Source organism: Homo sapiens, chromosome 10 (assembly GCF_000001405.40).
Source record: "Homo sapiens chromosome 10, GRCh38.p14 Primary Assembly".
NCBI classification, from domain to species: Eukaryota; Metazoa; Chordata; class Mammalia; order Primates; family Hominidae; genus Homo; species Homo sapiens.
The window spans coordinates 77,105,855-77,130,311 of NC_000010.11; the positions used below are offsets into that span (position 1 = coordinate 77,105,855).

Genomic DNA, 24,457 nt, shown 5'->3' on the forward strand with positions numbered 1-24,457 from the left:
ATTGCTAATTACTACCACATGCCCATATCCCAAGCGAAAGAAAACTTATTGATTCTGACAGCCCATTCTCTCAACACTGAATTCCAAATGAAAACTCAAAATTTGGCCAAACATAACATTTCATCAATCTTGTTTTACTGACTGGAAAAACAACATCAAACAAAGGGTGCTAATGGCCCTTTATTACCGTGCCTTTCCCAAGCTTATATTTTCTGATGAAAGATCTAAGTGACCAAAGGCCTTCTTTAAACTACTTAGTAATTAGCTTTTGAACCAGGAAACAATGCATAAAGTAGTGAACAGGCCCGGTGCTGATGACAGGACGGACTCTGTGTCTGCAGGGTCAGGAACAGTGGGGACCCAAAAAGAACATTAAAAGCAAAGTGCATTTTCATAAACGGAGAAGAAAAAAAAGAGAAAGAGAGAGAGAGAGAGAAAACCAGGCTAAAAGCGGTGATAAAAGATTACAGAGCCAGAACAGAGTGGCAGGAAGTCTGTGATCTGAAGTCATCAGCACCTGAAAGTTTGAGTGGAACTGCCAGGGTGAAAGATGACCGGATCGGACTGGGGGCAGTGAGTGAGTGCCGGGCTGAGAGCCCCATCTGGGTCAGCTGGCACCGAAAGCTGCCGGCCTCCAGCCCACCCACCAGCTCACCCACATTTGACTAGGAAAATTATTTCATTAAAAAAAAAAAATCACCTGGAATGAAAGTCAAGAAATATTTTCAACTTAGCCTTCAGGGCAATTGATTTTATTGACTTCTTGGGGCAGTGATTGGGAAATGCTGGCGGAGACGTCAGAAGATAGGGAGGCCATAAAGAGAGCCCCAGGCCCTCAGAATGCCTTCTGCTTTATGGAGACCTGTCCACACCTTCAAGGCAAAATGAATTGAGATGCTGTTTTCCTCTTGGCATGGGATACATGACCACTGGGAATCTTTGGACTTACTTGGCCTTTTGGATCCAACCAATGGCCCAGAAATCAGAACAGCTTGGTTCTAACCTCATCCAGGGCTGTTAAGATAATATTGAGGGGAGGGCTCCATTAGAGGGAAGATGGAGGGATGTGCTGCCTCCCGGAAAAGACGCCAACTGGCCTCCTCTGGCCCACTGTCCTTTGTGCCTTTGAAAGGAAACGGGTGTCCTGTGGGTAGTTCAAGAAAATGAGCCCTTTTGTCCACCTCCTCATTTCCTGTGCAGAGGCCTGGACACCTGAGCTCAGGAAGCACTGGACTCACTGACCAAAGGGGAGGGTCCACTCTGTCCCACACGGCTGACTGTCAAAAAGAGAAGGCAGCAGTGGAGGGAAATACAATGCTCCCAGTCTGATTTTATTTCCTCTTAAAAAAACAAAAGAAGCTCTTTAAGAGTTCATTTGAAACAGAACGAGAAGGGAAAACAAAACAAAACAAAACAGTTCCATGATAGGAACGTCCATGACTGGGAAGAGGCATGAGTGATGAAAGTTTTCTGTGTCCTGATCCGGATGGTAGGATGATAGTGACTGGGTGTGTACATAGGTACAAGTTCCTCACTTTATATGTTAAAGATGTGTACATTTAACTCTATGTAAGTTATACCTCAAAACCAAAAACAAACAAAGGTGACTACTCCAGAAAAAGCTTTAAAAAAATAAATAAAGGATGGCTGCTGCCAGCCCCCTCTCCCCCATGGCATTCTCCTCTTGAGGTTGTAAGGTACTGCCCTCTACTTAGGAAAAAACCTTGGGGTCTCTATTGAACCTGCACATTGATATCGAGAGTGATAAAGTGATCTGAGCACACACTAAAATAGTTCCCGAGAAGAAAGCATTCACATTTGGGAAGCCAAACAAAAGATTTGGCAGGAATAGCATGTAGTACCCTAAACTACCAGAAATATACTATTTCTTGCCCGGAAGGAATTTCAGCTGAGTAATGAGTCCCTTTGAGGATAAGATCGGTGCCTCCTGGATGAAGAGGAGAACTGGGTTCCCAGTGGCCGCAGTGCCTTTGCAGTAGGCCAGATGACCTGGATCTGCCACCCAAGGACTTCTCTGCCAGAGTCTTATCCTGTGTTCTTGCTACACACAAACCACCATAGGAGGGCATCATACTAGTTTGAGGGACCAGAATTTTATCACATAGCCAGATGATGGAAGAATGAACGAGTTTTGTTTACTTGTTAGGGGTCAGAAGAGAAAATATGGGCCCAGTTATAAATGGACTCCTTTCAGGATAAATTCATTACATCTCTTGGAATTTGTGAATGGGAGTTGGTCCAAGCGTGGCAACGTCCTCGGGTCACCTCTGACATCACACCCCATGCAGAAACTGGGCCTTCCCTCACAGAAGCACCCGGTGGGGTTGGGGAGGGGCAGAATTCAGATGGCACCTCCACAGGGACTCCTGAAAGTCACTCAACCACATCTTTTCTGATGCAACTGACTTACTTTCTGCCTCCATGTTTGTTAAAAGTCCCGCCGAATTTATTCCGACTCAGGATGAGAGCAGCAATTTCGGGCACGTAGCGGGCAAACATTGCCTACATGCATGAAACAAAGAAACAAGAGCCAAAAAAAAAAAAAAATGGCATGCAGAGAGGATTCTACCGCAGCAGAGGCAGCAAAACCTCTTGGCATACTTACTTTCTTCCACTAACCGCACTATAGGAGCCCCCGTATTTCTTGCGGTTTCCTATTAACTCTATGATTTCAGGGACGTAGCTGGCAAACATGGCCTGAGAAGATAGGAGACAGAAGAGAGACTAAAAAGACAGGCCAAAGAAAAGGGGGGACCTGTTCAGAGGGTGGGGGCACTAAGATCTGAAAACACAAAAGGATTAGGCCTGCAAAGGTATATATTGATATGTTGGATCATAAAAAACTAAAAGCACGAAGAGAGCAAGCTCCCAGAAATACACAAGACAAACAAACATTGGCCACCTTGACAACTAAAGAACAAAAAAAAATCACAGTCGAGAAAAATACAAAGGCGACAGGAATAAATAAGGTGATATCTAGTTCTTCTTGCTGAAGAAAAATAGGCAAGAGGGGGACATGCTAGTGAAACTAAACACACACAGACACATGTGTGCATGCACAGACACACACAGTTTCGCAAGAGAAGATCTTCCTTTGTCATTAAAATTCAGAGGAGAATCAATGCTTTTATGAGTGACAAAAGAAAATAAACACCAAAAGATTAAAAACTACATTTTTCTATTAAAAAAAAAAAAACACTGAAAAGCTCAAAAGGGAAATTTAGGAAATCACCTGGGAGGAGAAGATAGCAAGGAGAAACACAAATCTGCCATGTTTTGTCCAACAAACATCTGGCCTGTGGCTGGCTGGATGGGTCTTTTTATCTATAGGCACCTCACGGATGCTGTAGAAATGCTTGCGTGAATGTACACATGCATGTGCACATTTATATACATTTTTAAAATGTATAGGCCCTATGCATACAAAACAGAGAGAGGTGTATGCATCACTACATATAAATGTGCGCACGGTGTACATACATGAAAGCTGTGTATGGATTAGGATTTTAATCACTCGCTTCATAAATGGCAAAAAAAAATCTAAACTTAAAATGAGCTACTTTGAAAGACAAAATGCAGCAACTGCCAACGTGTGGCCAGAAATCCCCTCGATTTACATTAGAAGGGGTGGTTTAGTGCAACATAAAGAGCTGCGTAGACTTTTAAAAAGCAAACAGTGAAACTTTCTTAGAAGAAAGGAGCAAAAATACCCCATGTGTCCGCTGCAGAATGGAGTGAGCTGTTTGCAAAACTGCACTCTGCTCACATGGGGATGTCCGCCTGGACAAGACTAAGGTGCTCTCTCTCCTTTGATGTAGGGACCCTTCTCTTTAGGGCAGGCCCCAGCCACAGTGTTTGTTGGAAGTTAGGGGAGGAACATAAAGGGGAAGGGAGAGCTCTTGAAACCGCAAACTGTCTCTACAAAGTATCGACAGCTTCTACCAGAGGCAGGTGACAGCCACTGTCCTTGTAGCATACCAGATGCTGAGTTACATTGCTAAGGGGTAGACACTCTCCCTTATTAACAGCATCACTTTTCTTAAGACAATTAGGTTTGCTCCTGGCTAAATGGCTGTCCCCGACAAGGGCAATGTGCCTGGATCTATGGGACAAGTGTAATACACCAAGAATTATGCAGAAAAGTCACCATCGTGTTTGGATTTACTTAGCCTGATTGTAACGTTAAGGCTTGCTTCTAGTGCAGAATACAGTCTAAAATACAAAGCTTTAAGGAAATGTATCATGGAAAATATTAACAGCCATCAAAATCAACATCATAATAAAGATTTTTTTTTACCAGTCCCCCGAGGATGAAGAAGACCATGAAGAGGCGCCCAAGTGTGGTTTTTGCATAAACATCCCCATAACCAACGGTGGACATTGTGACCATGAGTAAATAGACACATTCCCAGTAGGTGAGAGCCTGGTTGTTTTGGAAATTTTCCCATGGGTCCCCTGAATTCTCCACCTAAAGCAAATGGGACAGGGGAGAAAAAAGAAAAACATGCTATTGAAGTGTATACATGCAATAAACGCGGAAGCTCGGCACTCTCGAAGGCCACTTGCTACTGCACACCACTCTCCACACGAGATGTGTGGTTCCCGGGCTGAGTTCTGTGAGTCAGGATGCAGAGCTCCTGAGCAGGACACAGAGAAAGTGGAGAAGCAGCTGCAGGAGATGTCTTCCTGGCTGATTGAGACAGAGAGGGAAAGCAAGAAGGGAAATATCTCTAGGCCTTTTCTCTTCTTCTGGTAAAATGTGGGAAGCCAGCTAAAATTCAGGGCATTGCCTCTGGCCAGGTTTTAGAGCACTCTCTTCAAGGAAAGAGCCAGAGATTCCGTCCCTGACCTTCCTCAATGGGTTTCTAAGGCCCAGATGGCCTGGATCTGCCTCTCCCACAGAAATTCTAAACACTTCCGTAGGGGGCTGCCTCCTTCCATCAGTTTATCCAAAGAGTATATATGGGCCCTGCTTATTTCTGATTCAAACAGCATCTCTGGAATCTGGCCCTGCTCTCCCTCCTTTGCAAATTGGCAATGGTGGTCCCAGCCTTGAGGCTGCTGGAATCTTCACAGGGGCATGGAAAGTGAGCTCATGAGAACAGCTTGCACTGGCACAGCCCGTTAGATCAAGGGCTGGCAAACTTTTTCAGTTTTGTGGGCGACACAGGTCCTGTTCAACTCTGCAGAGGCAAAACTTCAACAAATGGGTGTGGCTGGATTTGGAGAGCTTTGGCCCGAGACTGCAGTTTCCCCACTTTCCTGTCCTTCCATCATATTTGATCTGCCAACAAGGCTAGTAGGTGGGCAGGAAAGGTACTTTAGATACTCTCAGGAGAGAGGGAGCTGCGGGCCCAATTTTACTCAAATATGCCTGTGATCCACCCACAGGGCCTGTAGACGGTGGCCCCCAGGCCTCCACCTCTGCCTCTGCAAAATGTTTCCAGGGCCTGGCCTCTTTCACACATCAGTTTGTCCTCAATGTGCCATTTTCACAAAAGTTTCCTGGTGAACCTGAAGGGACTTCACTAATACCCGTAGTAAGGTGGGGTCATCATCTTATTAAAGACAACTATCTCCTCCACATATGTGATTTGGGTGCTTCGTGCTTGGTTACAGCAAGAATTAGGGTGATTAAGGTTGATTTTGGCCATGAATCCCATCAGCATTAAGGGCTGGGCAGGAGACTCTAGATCTGGTGACTACGTGAGGCCCCATGCCCCAACCACTGCCATCCCAGGCCTGTCTTCCTTTGGGTGATAATTACCTAAATCCCAAGTGTGGGTAGCTAAGCGCGTCCTTCTATCCCTTATGCAAATAGAGGCTCAGCCACTGGTGGTCAACTTTATCCAAAGTCTCAGAGCTAGACGAGGCTCCTTCCAGTTGTAACAGTCTATGTTTGCATGAAACACACTTCCCACAATGGCTGTGCTCTCTAAAAGCAGGGGGAAAGTCTGCCTTCGGGTGGTGTGAGGGGCTTGACTTAATACAAGGCTTTCAAAGAGTCACTAATGAAAAAGAATGAACATTTTTGAGGTACAAATCAGACAAAATAATCAAAGGTGGCTTTTCGTAAGGCGGAAGTGGAAAGAAATTGAGGGATCTGAATTTGTTGTTTACTAGGAGGTGTGGGTCCAACTTCCAACCTTGTCCCCAGACCTTTTCCAGGTGTTTGCTTAGGAAGCACTGCCATCTTGTGGCTTACTATAGTTATTGCAGACAGAAGGAAAATCTACCAAAGCCCCCATGACAATACCAATGAGCAATGAACTGAAAAATGCAGGTTAATAGTGCAAACATTACTCACCATTTGGAACTAGTTTGGGGTAAAAAGGTTGGAAACCCAGACAATTGTGTGGTTGCTTCCCATCTTCCTGTCTACAACCGAGGTGAAGTTAATTTCCAGCAAGATAAATTTTAGGTAATAAAATGACTCAGAGAGGGTCTTGTTGCAGGCAAGCGAGAGCAGAAGGGTCTTCAAGGTTACTCACCAAATGGATGAACCCGGCTGCAGTCAGCCACGTGCTGATAAATATGGAGAGCAGATTCACCAGCTTGATGGAATTACTGTGCAAGAGACAACAAGCAAAATCCCCACGTTACCAAGGGAAGGCCCTGCTGGGGCTGCCTTACAGGGTAACAGCACCCGCTTAGCAGGAGAGGCTGCCACATCTAACTCCCAACCATTTCTCCATTATAAGGGAATTCTGGAAGGTGGAGGAAGCTGCTGGGATGAAGGTCAGGACAGAGCCTAGAGGAACAAATTTAACTTTGGTAAAAATTAACTTTTATTTAAAAAACTCTTCAAATCTACAGAAAAGTGGAAAGAACAGTATAATGAACACTTGTACGCTCTTCATTTAGACTGACCAATTATTAACATTTTACCACGGGTGCTTTATCTCCCTACATGCTTTTTCTCTTATCCCCCCCGCCCTTTTTTCTTCTCTTCTTCTTGCCATGTACATATATATATATATATATTTGCTAAACCATTTACCAATAAATCAGAGACATCATGGCACAAGCCCTAAATACTTTAGCACCCAACTCCTAAGAAGAAGGGCATTGCACAGCATAATCACAATACCATTGCACGCCTCAGAAAATTAAAACATAAAAATTCAGTAATGCTATTTAATATGCAGACCTTATTTAAATATCTCCAGTTGCCCCAAAATTATGTTTATTGATTTTTTTTTATTTTCCCCCCAGACCCAAGTTTCATGCACTGCATTTGGCTGTTAGGTGGCTTAAATCCAACTGTCAGGAAACAAGGACAGAGAGTAAATATTTTAGGCTTTACAGGCCATATAGACATTGTCACAAATACTCAACTCTGTCACTGTGGCTTCAGAGCAGCTTTTGGACATCATGTACAGGAATAGATATGGCTTTGTTCCAATAAAACTTTATTTACAAAAACAGGCAGCCGGCATGGGCTATAGTTTGCCAATCCCAGCTTCAGTCCCTTCTAATGTATAATTGACACCACTCCTTTGTAATGACATTAAATTTTGTGTGAACCTAGGTTGTCTTCTATAATGTTCTATATTCTGGATCCTGTTTATTTACTTATTTATTTTTATTTTATTTTTTATTTTTTGAGACGAGGTCTGACTCTGTCACCCAGGCTGGAGTGCAGTGGCACGGTCTTGGCTCACTGCAACCTCTGCCTGCCAGGTTCAAGCAATTCTCCTGCCTTAGCCTCCCGAGTAGCTGGGATTACAGGCACCCGCCACCACGCCCAGCTAATTTTTGTATTTTTAGTAGAGATGGAGTTTCACCATGTTGGCCAGGCTGATCTCGAACTCTTGACCTCAGGTGATCTGCCCGCCTTGGCCTCCCAAAGTGCTAGGATTACAGGTGTGATCCACCGCGCCCAGCCCAGTTTATTTTTTAAATAAATGTTATTGTGTATGTTTGAGGTTTACAACATGATATTACCTACCATCTCACATAGTTACGTTTTTGTGTGTGACAAGAGCAGCTAAAATCTACATATTTAACAAAAATCCCAAATACCATACAATTTTATTAGCAATAGTCCTCATGTTGTACATTAGACCTCTAGACTTGATCATCCTACATAGCTCCCTACTTAAGTATTTCTGTTAAGAATCTCTTCGGGGATGGCATCACATCAGGATATCCCAGCCCAATGACTAGCTCCATCCATGTGGCTAAGGCAGAAATGCTAATGTCTCCACTGAGAGGTGCCCATTTCCCTTTGTAATGAATATGCCACCTTGAGTGAGGCCCCGAGACTGCAGGAATATCCTGCTCCCCAAAAACCTTATACCTAATAGCTTTAGCATTCACTGGTGTTCCTTGAGTGGATCAACTGGACCTTATGACATTTTGAGGTCCCTAAGAGCTGAGGCCTTGTCTGTCTGGATTCCAGGAGCCCTGGGTCCCTGGAGCATAGCAGACCCGTGACTCTGCACTGAGTGCACTGGTATCTGCCCCTGCTCTCTTTCTAAACTGCATCCTGTTCAGTCCCACTGGGGTATACCTGAACGCTGCTGTCAGCAGGTCACTTCACTGTCCAAAGGCTTCTTGTTGACTAAAAGATGACATTCAAACTCTCTCCTTCCATTGTCAACACCTTGTGAAGTCCCAGTCTCTCCCACCACCCCTCTTTCACATAAACTCTTGAAACTGCCATGCCAGCTAAACCTATTTACTATAGCTATTGTTTACACTATTTACTCAACTTGAAAGCCCTTCCCATCTAGTCAAATTTCCCCATTCTTCAAAGCCCAGTTCAATCCCTACTGCTTCCTTAAAGTCGTTCCATCCATCTGCAAGACAAAGTGACTTTCCCCGGCTCTCAACTCCAGCCATTCATTGGTAATTGATCCTACTGACTTAAGATGTCTTTTGTAAAGTTTTAGGTTGCTATTTGACTCTTGTGTTCCTTGCTGCATCTTGCAGAAAAGAACTCTCTTTTCTAGCTCTTGCATTTTCCCAGTAGTGGCTTAATGCAGCCTACAGGGTTGCCCAACCCATTAGTTTTGGTCAGTTCATCTCTGTTATGACTGCCCTCTCTTACCTCTCTTTTGGAGAACCAATGATTTAAATTCTAGGCATTTAAGATCACAGTAATAGTTTCAGCTAGCTTGTTTACAGTTCTTTCCCAGTGCTCACCACATGTGCCACCATCCTAAGTGCTTTAGGATCACCTGTGCTTTATGTATACTAAGTCATTTAATGCTCATAACAACAATCTTTCTTCTTCTATGGAAGAGCACAGAGGAATCCATAGTCTTAGTTTTTCCAGAGTTGATTCTGACAGTTCATGGAAAGAATAAACAGATTCAACTTTGTGGGTGAGACTGATATTTCAAAATGTGTGGAACAACTTTCTTCTGGCTCGAAAACTTGGAAAAACAGCCAAAATGTCCATTCTGTCTCTCTTGGTCATTTCTAGAGTTACCAGATTATAATAATTGCCAATATTTATTGAGCCCTTATTATGTGTTAGATGTTGTGTTAAGCAGAATTCTCTCCTGCCTGTACCTTGTAAGTCCTCTAAGGTGTGCTCCCACATTGGAGGGTAAGAAATAGATGAAGAACTGATAGCCGGCGACAAAGGGAGGCCTCTTAGGGAGGTGTGTGTTGTTCATTTTCTCAGGGTATCGTTAAATACCAAGTGGCTTCACTTACATACTCCTGGATTCTTGGGACCTGAACACAGCAGTGTCCCACCAACAACCATGTAGAGTCCTCTTGAGATATTAAACCTATTTAGAGTCTGAGTCTCCTTGGTGCTTTGGAAAAATGACCTAAATATGGTGATTACTAAACTCTAAATGATGGTTACAGTGATATTAGTAGTGCGTTAGGGAGCTCTTGCCATATGCAGAACATTTAATCATTGTTGCTAAAACAGTCCATGTTTAGCTCTGAAATCTGATTATTTTTATGACATCAGTATTATCACAGATCCCTAGGTTTAGGAATTTGCTTTCTAAATGAAACTGTATGACCACACATCTGAAAGCTACAAGCAAAAGATGCAAGGTTAACCCCTGGTGGGCATTCTCCACAGTCTGAAATGTGAACCTTGCCAGGTTAAGTAGGGCTCCTTGGGAAGAAAGAGTGAGGCACGCCAGGAGCAGGGCTGTGTGCTCTGCATAGCAAAGGTTATATATCTCTGTGTGGAGATAGTCATAGCCTTCCTGGTCAAGCCCAGGGATCTGGGCCAAACACGAAGCTACCAGCGGTTAGAATGATTTGAACCATTCAGATTCTAGCCTGCTTCCTAAGCTTTGAGGGAGATTATGATCTTATCATCAACACCTGATCCAACTAAAGTCAATCATTCTCATGTTGCCTATACAATTCCTGAGTCTCCATCCCATGAGTTCTAATTCACATCGATGGACACAGTGAATCATGATAGGTCAGGCACAGGATTCTTGTAGATTAGAGACCTCTTCCAAGAAACTGTGGATGCTGCAAGAGAAGGTCTGGCTCCAGAGATTACAGCTGTAAACCCAGAGCTTCTGGGGCCTCCTTTGTCCTCTATATGTTTAACAAGACATGTTTCAGTTAACACAGAAAATGCCATGCACTTTGTACAAAGAAGTGTACGTTTGTCCCTGTTCTGCTTGTCTCTAATTTTTCTCTTTGTTTCTGGTACTGCCAGGTGCTGCTGGCCTTGTTTGTTTTACTGCTCTCTTTGCTGGACAGATGTAAAATACCCACCCCCTAAAAAGTTAACTGGACTGCACCACACTAACATAAATGGTCTGAATGACAACATGAGTGGAACAAAGTGAAATTCTGCCAATTCAATCCCTTAATTATCTCTAGATCCCTTCTTCTTTCTCTGCCCCAATTTGCACTGCCTAAGGCCATGCCCTAATACCTCTTCCCTGGACTACTGCCTCCTAATTGGTCTTATGGTCTATGAGGTCTTTGATGCTTCAACCCCATTCTCTATACAACTGTTGGAATAGTGGATCTTTCTAAAATGTCAGTCTAACCACATTTCCTCTCCTGATTAAAATCCTTCAACAGCTCTCATTTGTTCTCAGTAAAGTCCATGAATCTAAGAACCTGCATGATTTGGCCTCTCCCTGCACATCTCTTGCAGTCTCCATATAGAATACTCTTCTTTACAAACTTTATCTTGGAGCCATTTCTAAGTTCATGTCAGTAGTAATGTTTTAGTTTCAAAAACGCCTCCCAAAACCATATTGGTTAGGTACACGATGACTCATGCATATCATGGAATGCTATGTGAGAAACAAAAGGTGACATAGTAGATGTAATCATTATCTCAAAGTAGTGTGATGTGGAGGCAATTTTACTTTATCCTATGTGATTTTGTGTGTTGTTGCAATGTTTACCATGAACATATTTTCAAAATTAGAGGAAACAGGCTGGGCACAGTGGCTCACACCTGTAATCCCAGCACTTTGGGAGGCCAAAGTGGGCAGATCACCTGAGGTCAAAAGTTCGAGACCAGCGTGGCCAACACGGTGAAACCCTGTCTCTACTAAAAATACAAAAAGTAGCCAGGTGTGGTGGCAGGCACCTGTAATCCCAGCTACTCGGGAGGCTGAGGCAGGAGAATGGCTTGAACCCTGGAGACGGAGGTTGCAGTGAGCTGAGATCACGCCCAGCCTGGACAACAGAGCAAGAGTCTATCTCAAAAAAAAAAAAAAAAAAAAAAAAAAGAAAAGAAAAGAAAAGAAAAATTAGAGGAAACAATAAGGAAATTCCCATTTTGGAAAAAATTGCTGAGTGATCCATGTTTTAGTCATCAATATTTACCACAGTCAATGAGATGTGGAATTACAGCCTTTAAACACAGCTGCTGACTTTCCTCTGACAGTAGAATAAGTGTTCTAGCACCTGTGTGTTAGATCTCCAGTTTGCAGGGCAACTGAGAAACTGCCAAAACCTCAGATAGTGAGAGGGAGTCTCCTTGTCTCCCCTTTAATTGGCCGTTTCAGGCTATGGAGTATTCTAGGCCCCCTATGGGCTTGCAGTTTGGGAAAGGGCCCTGATGCTGGTCACATAATTGTGATTTGCCCATTTCATCCCATGCACTTTAATTTTCCTTCTGCTGCATTCTTAATTCTTTATCAATCTTTCTGCCCACCTTATGCTTCTCTGCCTTATTTCTTTCAGCTCTTGGCCCAGTGAGGCAGCCAAAGTACTGGAAATGAAACAGCAACTCCAAATCATTATTTCAAATTGCATTGCAAAGCCTCCATCCCTGCCTAATGCCACAGATTGGCAGGAATTCACCGCCAAAGAGAGCCAGACAAAATCTCCCTAAAGACGATTACATGGGTCCCCCAACCCACCCTTCTGGAAGGACCGCTATGAAAGCAGCAGAGTATGGAAGAGTCACAGGAGAATCGCTCAAAAGTCCAAAACCCTACAAAAGCCAAGGCTGCACTTTCTCTGGGACAGAACTTTGGGATCCACACTTGGGGATGCCCAAAAGGAAGGAGCCAAGATTAGCCAGGCTGGCACCTGGAGAGAGAATGGCCTCAGAGAGTTGTCCTAAAGCTTCTAGATTTCTTACAATTACATGACGTTTGCTTCTGTGCCTGGTGACCTGGCCTTTCCTACCCTCTTAACCTCATCCTCCTCTTTCCATCACAGAACGCTTAATGTCCAGGAGTGCAGAATTACCCAAAGTTTCCCCAAGTGTTATGCTCTCACACCAGTGTGCTGTTAGCATCTTCCTTGATTAGAAGTCAACCCCCACCCTACCCCTCACATGCCCAGCCCCATGAGGATGACACTTTTTTCTACAAGGCTTACCTAAAAGTAACCTTCTCCTCGAAAAGATCCTTGACTGCCCTGCAACTCAGGCTAAGCCCAGCTTAGTTACTCCCCTCTCAACCCCTGGGCATGCTGACATCAGCATTAACCACACCGTCAGGTGGCCTGGCCCCCTACGCAGCAAGTTCTCTGACAGCAGGACTCCTAGCATGCACCTTGCTGCTGATACCAATGGGTGCTCACTCCAGGCTTGCTGAATTATCTCAACCATCTGGTTATGACCATAAGTGAAAGGAACTCTGAAAACCCAGGTTGTGGGTTTGTGGCAAAAAGCACCCTCTAACAACAAGAGTTTCATATAGTGGGAAGTGGGGTGCTGGAAAAAGGCTGTTTTGGGGCCCGGATGGCAGATGCCCAGACAGCCTTCCACCCCGTGACTCTTCCCTAGGGCCATTCTCTCCCTCGTCCCCTGGCTGGCTGCTTCAGCTTCCCCGCTCTGCACTGAGAGAGGCAGCACTGAGTGCAGTTGGCAGGTGAGCTGACACCAGGGATCCCACAGCCACTTCCCGCATCCAAAGGAAAGAGAGGTGAGTGTCCTAGCAGAAAGTCAGAAAAAGATATTCAGATGGTCCATCATTTTCTCAAGTTCTAAAACGGTCCAGGGAGTAGACAGTATTCCTCAGAGCAATGGAACCTTCTCAAAATGCTGGCATCAGAGAATAAAAATCCCCCTAACATATGATGTAATTGTGAAACAGGGAGAGACAGACACTACCCAATGTTAGAGAGTGTCACAAAACACCATCCCTACCAAAAAAGTAAGTGTCTCTTAAGGACAAGGCTCTATGCTTGGTGCTGGGTACTCACGCGTTCCATCTTTAAAACACAGTCTAGTGGAGTGAATCTGACATACGTAAATATTGGCGAGATGCTAGCTTCATTGATCGTTTACATTTCAAAAGTAATATGATTCTAGCACATAGAAGAATAATTAAAAGGCAGAAATCAAGGTTATTGGCAATCAGAAAAACATGAAGAAATACAATATTCACTGTATGTGAATAATATTACATTATTGCTAATAAACAGAGGACTGATAAATTCTTATCTCAGGATAATGAACAGTAAAAGGCAGGAGGACATACTTTTAAAGACTTCAGTGCCATTGGATTCTCTTTTTCTTTTCAACTTGACTAATAGAAAGTGAATTTGACCTCACAGTCACATAGATGAGCAGTCAGAGAGAGGAAACCAATTTGGAATTAAAGCAAAATAAAATAAACAAGCAAAAAAAACACTAACACCCAAGGAGTAAAGCCAATCATAGGTTGAATTTGTTGGCTGTGTCAGGTTCATTCAGGAAGCTAGGTCCCAGCCTGTGTTACCAGGAAAATGATGCTGAATCTAATCCTCAAAACTACAGATATATTAATTACAAATCACAAAATATGGAGGTGTCCTGTTTTTAATCATTTATCAAATGCATGAAGGGCAACCAAAGAGGAAATGGAACATTAGAAGTTAGCTTCTTAGAGTGTAATTTCCTAGAAGAGAAATTTATGGCCTGTACTTATTCTCCATTAGAGCACGTCTAACCTCTTTTATTAGTTTATTCATCAAGACAGCCTTGGTTTCAGGCCAGCTCTGCAAGCCGGCAGGTCATCAGGAAAGGGATCCTCTGGGGGCTTTTCCTCCTGGTCCAGTTGTGTTTTCCAGATCATAACGCAGTTAACAGAAGTATTCATGGTGCATTCGGCAGGAGGTTTGTAGGTTTTCCCCCAAAAGGCAATTCACAGAGAAAGCCCCAAGGGCTATACGGATATAAAGTGAACATCTAAAATGTGCTTTGAAATGAAATGATTTTCTGTTTGCCGTATGAGGTTTGTGATTGCCTCTCACAGCATTGCTTCTATTGCCTTTACGACTGGGTTCAATTTCTTATTTAGTGATGTAATAAAGGGGCGATTTAGAATCTGGCAGCAAGGACTTCCCAATCAATGAGCAAATCTATCCCTCATTCACTGTGCACCTTTCCCCTTGACACCGTGGCTCTTATCTGGGCAACCCCACTGGGCACACAGATATCAGCTATGTGTCCCTAAAAGTGTCCCTACTTCCCTGCATGCACAGCTATTTCTCTCTTTTCACCACATAGTTCCCTGGCCCTGCAGAAGAGAGCAACTCAAACCCTACTCTGGTTTTCTCTCCCTCTCTGTGTTAGATCACTCTTTCTGTGAATAATATAACTATTAATAATGTCATTGTGATGAAAGCAAGCACACCTGATATTTGCAACTTGGCATAGGGGACTGGAATGAAAAAAATATGACGAAGAACATCTTACCTTGTTTTAAGAATATTCAGAAACTGCAAAATTTCTGAAAACTGTATCAGTCTCAGAGCTCTTAAAAATCTCAAACCTGGAAAAAAGAATGAAATAGAGATGCATTATTTTCAATGTGTGATTTTAATGTTCACAGTCTGCCATTTGATTTACAGTTCCCAAGGGTCGAAGGGATGGGAAGTTCTTGCAGAAGATAAACCAGCTGGTACCTCAGACATATTCCTTCATTCTGATTCTTGACTGGTTTAATCTCGACTGGGAAATGGACTTTCTCTTTATAAAGGTGGCCTGTTTGGAACCTCTTTAGAGGAAGGGCTCATGGGGAGAAGCCAGGTTAATGAGACTTTTCATTTGGTGATCTCTGATTGAAAGCACTGTTTCTAAGTTACCTAGTTATCTGGCAGGATTTTGTCTCTGAAAAATCCTAGGAATTGTGATAGCTCAGGGTAACCCTTGTGCTAAGAGCAGATTGAGAATAAATCGGATAACCTTATGTCTTTGATGGATTTTATTTTTTATCTTTATCTTCAGCCCTGATAAAATGAAGAGTACAGCCCACAGTGTTATCTGTTTTCTACAAACTTCTATATTTTCCTCCCAATAAAAAAAAAAAAAAGATCAGTGAGATATCACACCCCACAACTTCAGGATTCAAAATTTATATAGTTCCCCTTTTATTAAGTGTTAAGATAAATGGTTTGTCCTTTCTAAATCAACAACCTCTCTTGAATGAAAAAGAAGCATCAGTGTTTAGGTGGCAGAAGAGAGATGGAGAAGGAAAACACATCAAGGACATTTTAAAAATGCAAATTATTATGTTTTAATAGCTAAGAGTGAATTATATTTCTGTTCAGGTGAAATTCATGGTCAAAACATTCAGTCAGTCCTGGGCTATAATAATTTGGCTATCATGCAAGGGAATTACTTACAAAATGCTGGTTTGTCACCGCTTTGAGACACATTGAATGTCACACCCACTCCCAAGGGGATTTTCTTTTGCAGACTTTCTAGAAGCATTTTATTAAGCACCGCCACGTGCCAAAGGCAGTGCGAAGCCCTCCAGTGCACTGAGTTGACAGACAACTCCACGCCCGTGGGTGGGGCTTTGTTCTCCCACGCCCGTGAGCCAGTAAAGGGCAGCCTAGGGCACAGTGGTGGGAAGGAATCCTTACTACCTTCTACTTGAATGAGGAGTACACTAACTGCACGCAACGTGGAGCTGTTTAGGTAATAAGGGAAAATTAACTTAAAGTTCATGGGGTGGGGGAAAATCTGTACAAGGAAAGAGGGAGAAAAGGATTGGCTCAAAAAAATAATTTCTCATCTGAAAAGGATTAACCATCATGAACAGAAGACTTTTTTTGAAAACATTCTCCTTCTATGCTAAATAATACTTATATAACTTTTATTAAATAATTGCAGAGATGAGACGGGATGTTGATGAAATAAAAAGGCTCACGGCCAAAAGCACAGTTGTAACTGAGCTGATGAAAGGCTGACTTAGCACCGCTGAAAACCGACCACGGCGCAGAGTACAAAACTAAGAAGTCACCTCAGAAAGCAGAGAAAATATGAGAAAGGGAGAAAAAAAAAAGATGAAACTTCAGAAAATAGAAACACAGTAGAAATCACAGAGATCCAACCCATGGATAAAATGTGTTGGCCAAAGGGAAGTCAAAACATCACATTGATCATAAGCAAAGGCCAGGACATAACAGAAAAGAACTTTTGAGATATGAAAAAATGACTGGAGACTAAAAGGTAAAATGAAGGATCAGTTCTTAGAGACCAATGCCAAGAAGCATCTGGCTTTTCATTTTCACATTTCAAGTATTAAAATCAAGCAATAAAAATAAACCACCAGTGTTGATGGGGTTATTTACCGTTAATGTAACTAAGATCATTATATTTAACAAAAAGTGTTGGCCGGGCACGGTGGCTCATGCCTGTAATCCCAGCACTTTGGGAGGCCGAGGCGGGAGGATCACGAGGTCAGGAGATCGAGACCATCCTGGCTAACACAGTGAAACCCCGTCTCTACTAAAAAACACAAAAAAATTAGCCGGGCGTGGTGGCGGGCGCCTGTAGTCCCAGCTACGCGGGAGGCTGAGGCAGGAGAATGGCGTGTACCCGGGAGGCGGAGCTTGCAGTAAGCCGAGATCGCGCCACTGCACTCCAGCCTGGGCGACAGAGCGAGACTCCGTCTCAAAAAAAAAAAAAAAAAAAAAAAAAAAAAAAAAAAAGTGTTAAACAGCAATTGGGCAATTTTCAGAATTTTTAGACAAACAGAATTTGACCCAAGATTTTTATACCCAGTCAAGTGGTTGTTCAAGAATAAAAGTAACAAAAAAAATTTCAAATTCTAAGGTCTCAAAAAATACATTGTTTGCTCAGTGTGTGCATAAAGTTTCCAAAGAGGTTCACAAGACTTGCTAAATCAGAATGGGAGGGGGCAAGGGCTGGAAATTAAATTTATAACAGACTCTACTGCTGGTCCTAACCTTCCAGCCCAACCTAGACTGTTATCTCATACCAGTATCACTGTCGCATATTGCTGAGCTAAAACGACAAATGTAGAAACGTGGAGTAGAAGGCGACTGGCAGTTAGCACTGAAACTATGAAAGATAACAACACTCTTCCATGTTCCTTGAGGGATACATTCCAAGACCTCCCAGTGGATGCCTGAAACCTCAGATAGTGCCAAATCCTATATGCATTATATACACACACCTACGGTAAAATTTAACTTATAAATTAGCACAGGAAGGGATTAACAATGGCAATAATAAAATAGAACAATTATGACAATATGTACCAGCATCACTATACTTGCGCTTTGGGGCCGTTATTAAGTAAAATAAGGGTTAGTTGAACACAGGTAACATGGGTTACAGCAAGACATCGGTCTGCCCACTGAAGTGCCCTGAGAGACTAATGGCCAGGGAGTGCAGATGGCACGGATGTGCTGGACAAAGGGAGGATTCTTGTCCCAGATGGAACCAAGCAGGACAGCATGCAACTTAAACATTATGAATTGTTTATTTCTAGAATTTCCTATTTAATATTTTCAGACTACGGTTGCCTGGGGATAACTGAAACCTCAGGAAGCAAAACCATAGATAAGAGGCACTCCTGTAGAAATACATGCTAGCAATGTATTAGCCATTTAGTGTTTAATCCTGAACATTCTGTGTGTGCATAGATATGCTTTTATTTATGGAACTAAAAATAGAATACAAACAACCTGAACTTCAAACTGGATTTCTTCTTTTTATCTTTAAACGATGGTGTTTGTATCGTATATCCATTGCTGATTGGCAGCTTGCCACATTTGAGTGAGTTACACAAATATAGTAGAATAAAAGCTTTTCTTTTAATTAAGGTGCATGAAAGTAAGGGCAGGAAAGAAATGAATGCAGAGGCCACAAGGTCCTATACTCTTGCTAGACACAAACTGCAGATCTAGCTCTGAGCACCTTCTTAACAAAAGCAAGCAGGCAGACAGGATAAGATCAATAGTGTATACATATGAGAGAAAAACAAACTGGCTTGCAGGAGAATCATTTATTTTTCCCAACATGGAGACCAGAGGGAAATATCTCCTTGCAAAAGGGACCCAGGGTGATGCAGGAGCAAGACCCCTGTGGGCTGAACAAGGGTGGCCTTTGCTTATTTGACTGCCTCATACTGGGCATTTTTATGGCACTGAGTTTCACTAATGCAAATGAGCCAATGAAGTTCTCCATAGGTTAAAAAAGTCAGTCTACATTTCATCCTCAGATCAAGCCAGACTATCTGGAGAAATGGTTGGTCTTTCAGGAATCATTCACAATAGCTTCCGTATTAGTCCGTTCTCACTCTGCTAATAAAGACATACCCGAGACTGGGTAATTTATAAAGGAAAGAGGTTTAATTGACTCAATTCCACAGGGCTGGAGAAGCCTCAGGAAACTTACAGTCATGGCAGAAGGGGAAGCAAACACATCCTACTTCACATGGTGGCAGGAAGGAGAAGTGTTGAGCATAAGAGGGAAAAGCCCCTTATAAAACCATCAGATTTCGTGAGAACTCACTATCACGAGAACAGCAGCATGGGGGTAACTGCCCCCATGATTCAATTACCTTCCACAGGGCCCCTCCTACAACATAGGGGTATTATGGGAACTACAATTCAAGATGAGATTTGGGTAGGGACACAGCCAAACCATATCAGCTTCCTAACCGCTTTCTGCCCTGGACCCCTTGTGTTCTCTGCTCAGAAGCCTCCAATGCCACCCATTCCACACAGAGTAAAAGTCAAAGTCTTTCAAAGGCCTAAAGCAACACCATCCCACCACCAGCACTATCTCCTTTTGGATCTGATGGCTTCCTACTGTCACTCCTACTACTGTCCGCTGATCTGGCAGATGTCTTCAGTGACACTTGAACACACAGGTATGCTACTGCCCCAGGGCCTCTGCACATGCAGCCTCTCTGCCTGGAATGCTGTTTGCCAGATGCCCACATGGCATACTCCCTCACCTCCTTTGGGTTCTTACTCAATGTCCCTTGATCAGCGTGACTTTCCCTGGCTACCCGACCTAAACATGCAACTCCTCCCACACCACCCGTGCAACTCCCTATCCTCTTTCCTGCTTCACTTTTCTCCTCAGCATGAAGCACTAGCACCTCGGTTATGTGGTTACTTTCTGCCTTCCTCTCTTTAGCATCAGCTCTATGAGGGGAGGAGCTGATGTCTGTTTTGTTCAGGGCTATATTTCCAGCATTGAACATAGTGTCTGGCATAAGGTGAAGGCTCAATAAATCCTTGTTTGAACTGAATGAGTGAATCAAAGTTTTGAGAAATAATTAGACGGCGGAGTTAAAGGTTAGATAATCCACATTCAGAATTCTGAGACTATATGTTGCCTACTAAAGGGAAAAGCCAGAAGCCCTGCGGGGTCCCCTGAGAGAGGTCAGGGCTGCACTCTTGGGAAGTAGAAAGTAGCCTCATCAGGGAAAAGCCTTAACGAATGACCACTCTGGCTATACCCAGAAAGAGCCCAGAAGACTACAGACAGCGACTTCAGGCTAAGAGAGGAGACCAAGATAAGAGAGGTGAGAGGGGGAACTCTTTGGTGACAATTATTCATCTTCTCTATTTTATAATATCTTTTATTATTTTTATTCTATAAAATCTCTGAAATAAATGATTTTCTAAGGTAACACAAAATAGCTATAATAGAGTTGTGAAGAAGAAAATGTGTATATACCAAAAGCCAGGAATTACATGCCCTCCCCAAAAGCTTCCAGGTTCAGAGAGTTTTACAAGTGAGATTTTTACAGTTTCAAAAAATAGTAACTTCTCTATCTATTCTCTATTATATGATCAATTCTTAAAAATGGACTTATCTGTGTTTTTCCATGCTCTGTATTGGTTTAGAAAGTTGGCATTACCTGGACACAAGTTCCCTTGCATTTTTTCTTAAATGGCAAGCTTATCACACTAATGACTAACAACAATAATCCTAAATAAAATACTAGGGTATCATATCCAAGACTGCATTAAATGAATAAAAGACATGAGCTATAGCAGATGCTGTAGGGTACAGCCCAAATCCCCTCTTCAGGGACCTTATTTGTCCTGGGCTCTTGAAGAGTGACCTGCTAAAGGCTCAGAGCTAGTCCCTTCATGAGAACTGCCCTCTGCTACAAGGAGCTGCCTCACCTGGGGCTACATCCCCTGTCAGTGGTGGTGCCCCCCACCCCCCCACCCCCCCCCCACCACCACACACAAATGCTGGCTGATGTAGGGACAAAGGTCAGCTGCCTTGCCTCAATTTGGGATACTTTTTCCTGTGGGATGGGTTGAGGCTTCCCAGGCAGCTGCAGCCAGCCTGAGTTCTCCACCCTTATTCCCTCACAGGCATGGGCATTAAATCCTACCCTGGTGATCTGCATACCAGAAGACCGAGCATTCTAAGAGTCCATGTGGGCATACTGGAGGCACTCAGTAAATGGTAATTTCATCATATGAAGAATTACAATAGCGTAGGAGTGTACACACGCCACAGAAAAGTCATCAAACTGGACTAGAAAGCCCAGAAACACACACACAAACACACACACACACACACACACACACACACACACACACACACACACACAGAGTACATATAGTGTTACTATTATTTTAAATTACTGGTGAAATGATGATGTTGACAATGACATTAATCTATTATTATTGATGATATCTAGTATGTTTATTTACTTACACACACTAAAACTTCTAACTATATCTTTTTTAAAAAATACGTACACAGAAGAAAATAGCTAAGGAGACACAAATGAGACAGTGTATCCAGCATAGTTTGAAAGCAACAGAGCCAAGTTTCACCACAAATGTGACAAACTCCACAAAGCCCAAGCTTCTAGCCACTGCCCTGTACAGACTTCAGCCAGTCATTTCCAATTCAGACATTAGGACTCAAGCACACACTTTCAAGACTTGTGATACATCTTACCAACTTGTCCTCACAATTTGCATTCCCTTCAGTATGCAAATGCTCTTTTGCCTGTATTCCCACTGGATTGAGTACAGTGATAGAGAAAATAGGAAGGAAGGAAGGAAGGAAGGAAAGAAGGCATGAAGGCAAGAAGGGAGAGAAGGAGAGAAGGCAGGAAGGCAGGAAGGCAGGAGGGGAAAGGGAGAGAACGAGGGTAAGAATCCCAATTTGAGGTCGGGCATGGTGGCTCATGCCTGTTATCCCAGCACTTTGGGAGGCTGAGGTGGACTGATCACTTGAGGTCAGGAGTTCGAGACCAGCCTGGCCAACATGGTAAAACCCCGCCTCTACCAAAAATACAAAAAATTAACCAAGTGTGGTGGTATGTGCCTGTAATCCCAGCTACTTGGGAGGCTGAGGCAGGAGAATCACTTGAACCTGGGAGGTGGAAGTTGCAGTGAGCCGAGATCTCGCCACTGCACTCCAGCCTGGGCTACAGAGTGAGAGTCCATCTCAAAAAAATTAAAAATTTAAAAATTAAAAAAAAAATCCTAATTTGATAGACCCCAAATAAGAGCTCATGGCTGTTTTATTTTGCTTTTCTATCTTAACAAATGAAGCTAATTATTTTTTCATATAATTATTAGTCATTTTATTTTCTTCTCTAAAGTGCTTTAGAGTGGCCTTTGCCAGTCTGCCTGTGTATTTATCTTAATTGTAGTAATACAATTATGTTCTCATATAAAGAAGATTTTGTATACCATATATTATCTCCCACCGTTCGTCATTCTTCTCAATTTGGCTTAAAGTATTTTTCCTACTGTCAAATTTTACTTAAGGTGGGTTTCTTTCCCCATGAATTCTAAAATATATCAATCTTTCTACCATGTTCCCTTTTTTTAAAATTTTTTTGGCCATCCCCATCATATAGATAATTTTTTTTTTTTTTTTTTTACTGCATCTATTTTTTTTTCTTTGTACTTTTGGGGCACTGGTTCTGGACTTTGACTGTACATTTAAATCACCTGGGAAACTTTTAGAATTGTTGACACCTGGGTCTCAGCACCCCCTACCTGCATTCTGATTTAATGGGCGTGGGGTACATTCAGGCAGAGGGAGTATTAAGGCTCCAGAGTGATTCTAATGAGCCATCCAGGTTAAGAAGCATTGCAAACTTTTTCTATAAATGAACATATAGTAAATATTAATAAATATTTTAGGCTGTCACAACGACTCAACTTTGCTGTAAATAATAGGAAAACAAATAGGTGTGACCATATTCCAGTAAAATGTTATTCATATAAATAGGCCATGGACACTAATTTTCTACACTTGCTTTGGAGGCATGGGATTCAAATCCATTGTGCACATGAATCACCTGGCATTTGTAAACATCCAGATTCTGACTCAGTGGGTCTCCGATGGGGCCTGATACTGTGCATTTCTAACAAGCTCTAAGCTATCGTCAATGCTGTTGGTCAGAAGACCACACTTTGGGAAAACAAGGCTGCAAGGCAGTGGTCCCCAGATTTCTCTGCCATTGCAATCACCCGAGGATTTTAAAGCAATACTGAGGCCTGCTTCCCACCAGATTCAACGGGTCTGGGATACAAGCTGGGCATCAGAATTTTTATAAATTCTGATTCGAGTGTGCAGCCAAGTTTGGGAACCAGTGGTTCAGAATATATTTTCTTTTCTCTAACCTTTAATTTGTTAATCTGTTTTGATGTATTTATTTATTTTGGTTAACAGTGCACCAAAAGGACCAAGCTTTATTTTTCTAATCAAGAAGATTCTAATGTACAGCCAGATGATGGATGAGGATGAGTCCAGTGTACAGCCAAGTTTGGGAATCACTGCTTTAGAGTATCTTTTATTTTCTTTTTTTAACCTCTAACTTGTTAATCCATCAGGATGTATTTATTTATTTTGGCTAGTAGTATGCCAAAAGGAGAATGCTTTATTTTTTCTCCAAATAGCAAATTTCCGTTAATCCGAGTAATCACTTGAGTAATTTAAAACCAGTAATCTACCCTCTAAGCACACTACCAGTCTATTTAAATCAATTTTAAAGAACATACTGGCTAACTAGAAGTTAAATCAATAATACAATAAAAGATTATTTATAAAACAAAGCATTCAGCTTAAGATTTTGGGGGAAAAGTAGTCTTGACAATAGGAGAAAGCTGATTTTTTAGTTCAGTGTTTATGACTAAATAACCAGAAAACCAATAAATATGAAAAAAAATTTTAAAAATCTGTAGAATTTTATGGGAGCAAACAATGGCAACAAGAAAACAAACAAAATAAAGTTCTGGCTGATCCAATAAAAAAAGAAAAAAATTATCCACAATGATATTCTAATAAATCTGTGAAAAACCTCAGTGAGAGGGATGACTTTCTGAAAAATATAAACTTCGAAACTTGATACACACAAAAAAGAAATCCATTATAGGATAACAATTGAGATATACATTGAAATATATAGTAACAGCTTCCCTTACAGACTCTGCACCCATATATAATTTATGATTAAATTATTGCACATACATTTTATTAAAATTCTAAACTGTTCCATAATACAAAACGAGATCTAAAGCTACTAACTTATATTATAAAATAAACATAAACTGAGGACCAAAAACTGACTCTCAAAGCACAAAAATAAAGTAGAAATGGCCCTCAACTTACAATGGTTCAACTTAATGATTTTCTGACTTTTCAGTGGTGCAAAAGTGATACCTATTCACCTTAAACCATACTCTAAGTATTCACACAACCATTCTGTTTTTCACTTTCAGTACAGTATTCAATACATTACACTAAATTTTCAGCACTTTATTATAAAATATG

The 24,457-nt window shown here is 42.2% G+C and overlaps 1 protein-coding gene across 56 annotated transcripts in view, besides 1 other annotated feature; it reads right to left on the bottom strand.

Moving 5' to 3' along the window:
* KCNMA1 (potassium calcium-activated channel subfamily M alpha 1) overlaps window positions 1-24,457 on the bottom strand; it is a 768,207-nt gene that overhangs the window by 236,253 nt on the left and 507,497 nt on the right. For 53 of the 56 annotated variants that reach the window (NM_001271518.2, NM_001322832.2, NM_001410940.1 and 50 more), the window contains 4 exons: window positions 15,119-15,194; window positions 6,513-6,588; window positions 4,319-4,489; window positions 2,627-2,718 (listed from right to left, as the gene is read on the bottom strand). In NM_001271518.2, the coding sequence (NP_001258447.1) occupies window positions 2,627-2,718; window positions 4,319-4,489; window positions 6,513-6,588; window positions 15,119-15,194 (415 nt within the window). Of the gene's footprint in view, window positions 1-2,431; window positions 2,524-2,626; window positions 2,719-4,318; window positions 4,490-6,512; window positions 6,589-15,118; window positions 15,195-24,457 lie in introns of all 56 variants that reach the window. The other 3 variants (XM_017016222.3, XM_024447990.2, XM_024447989.2) reach the window with 1 other exon arrangement.
* Window positions 8,351-9,319: an enhancer, noted in NCBI's record as "OCT4-NANOG hESC enhancer chr10:78873963-78874931 (GRCh37/hg19 assembly coordinates)". NCBI's record gives its function as "activates a minimal SCP1, AML or CMV promoter by ChIP-STARR-seq in naive and primed H9 embryonic stem cells {active_cell/tissue: H9 hESC(naive and primed)}" and the evidence as "EXISTENCE:reporter gene assay evidence [ECO:0000049][PMID:30033119]".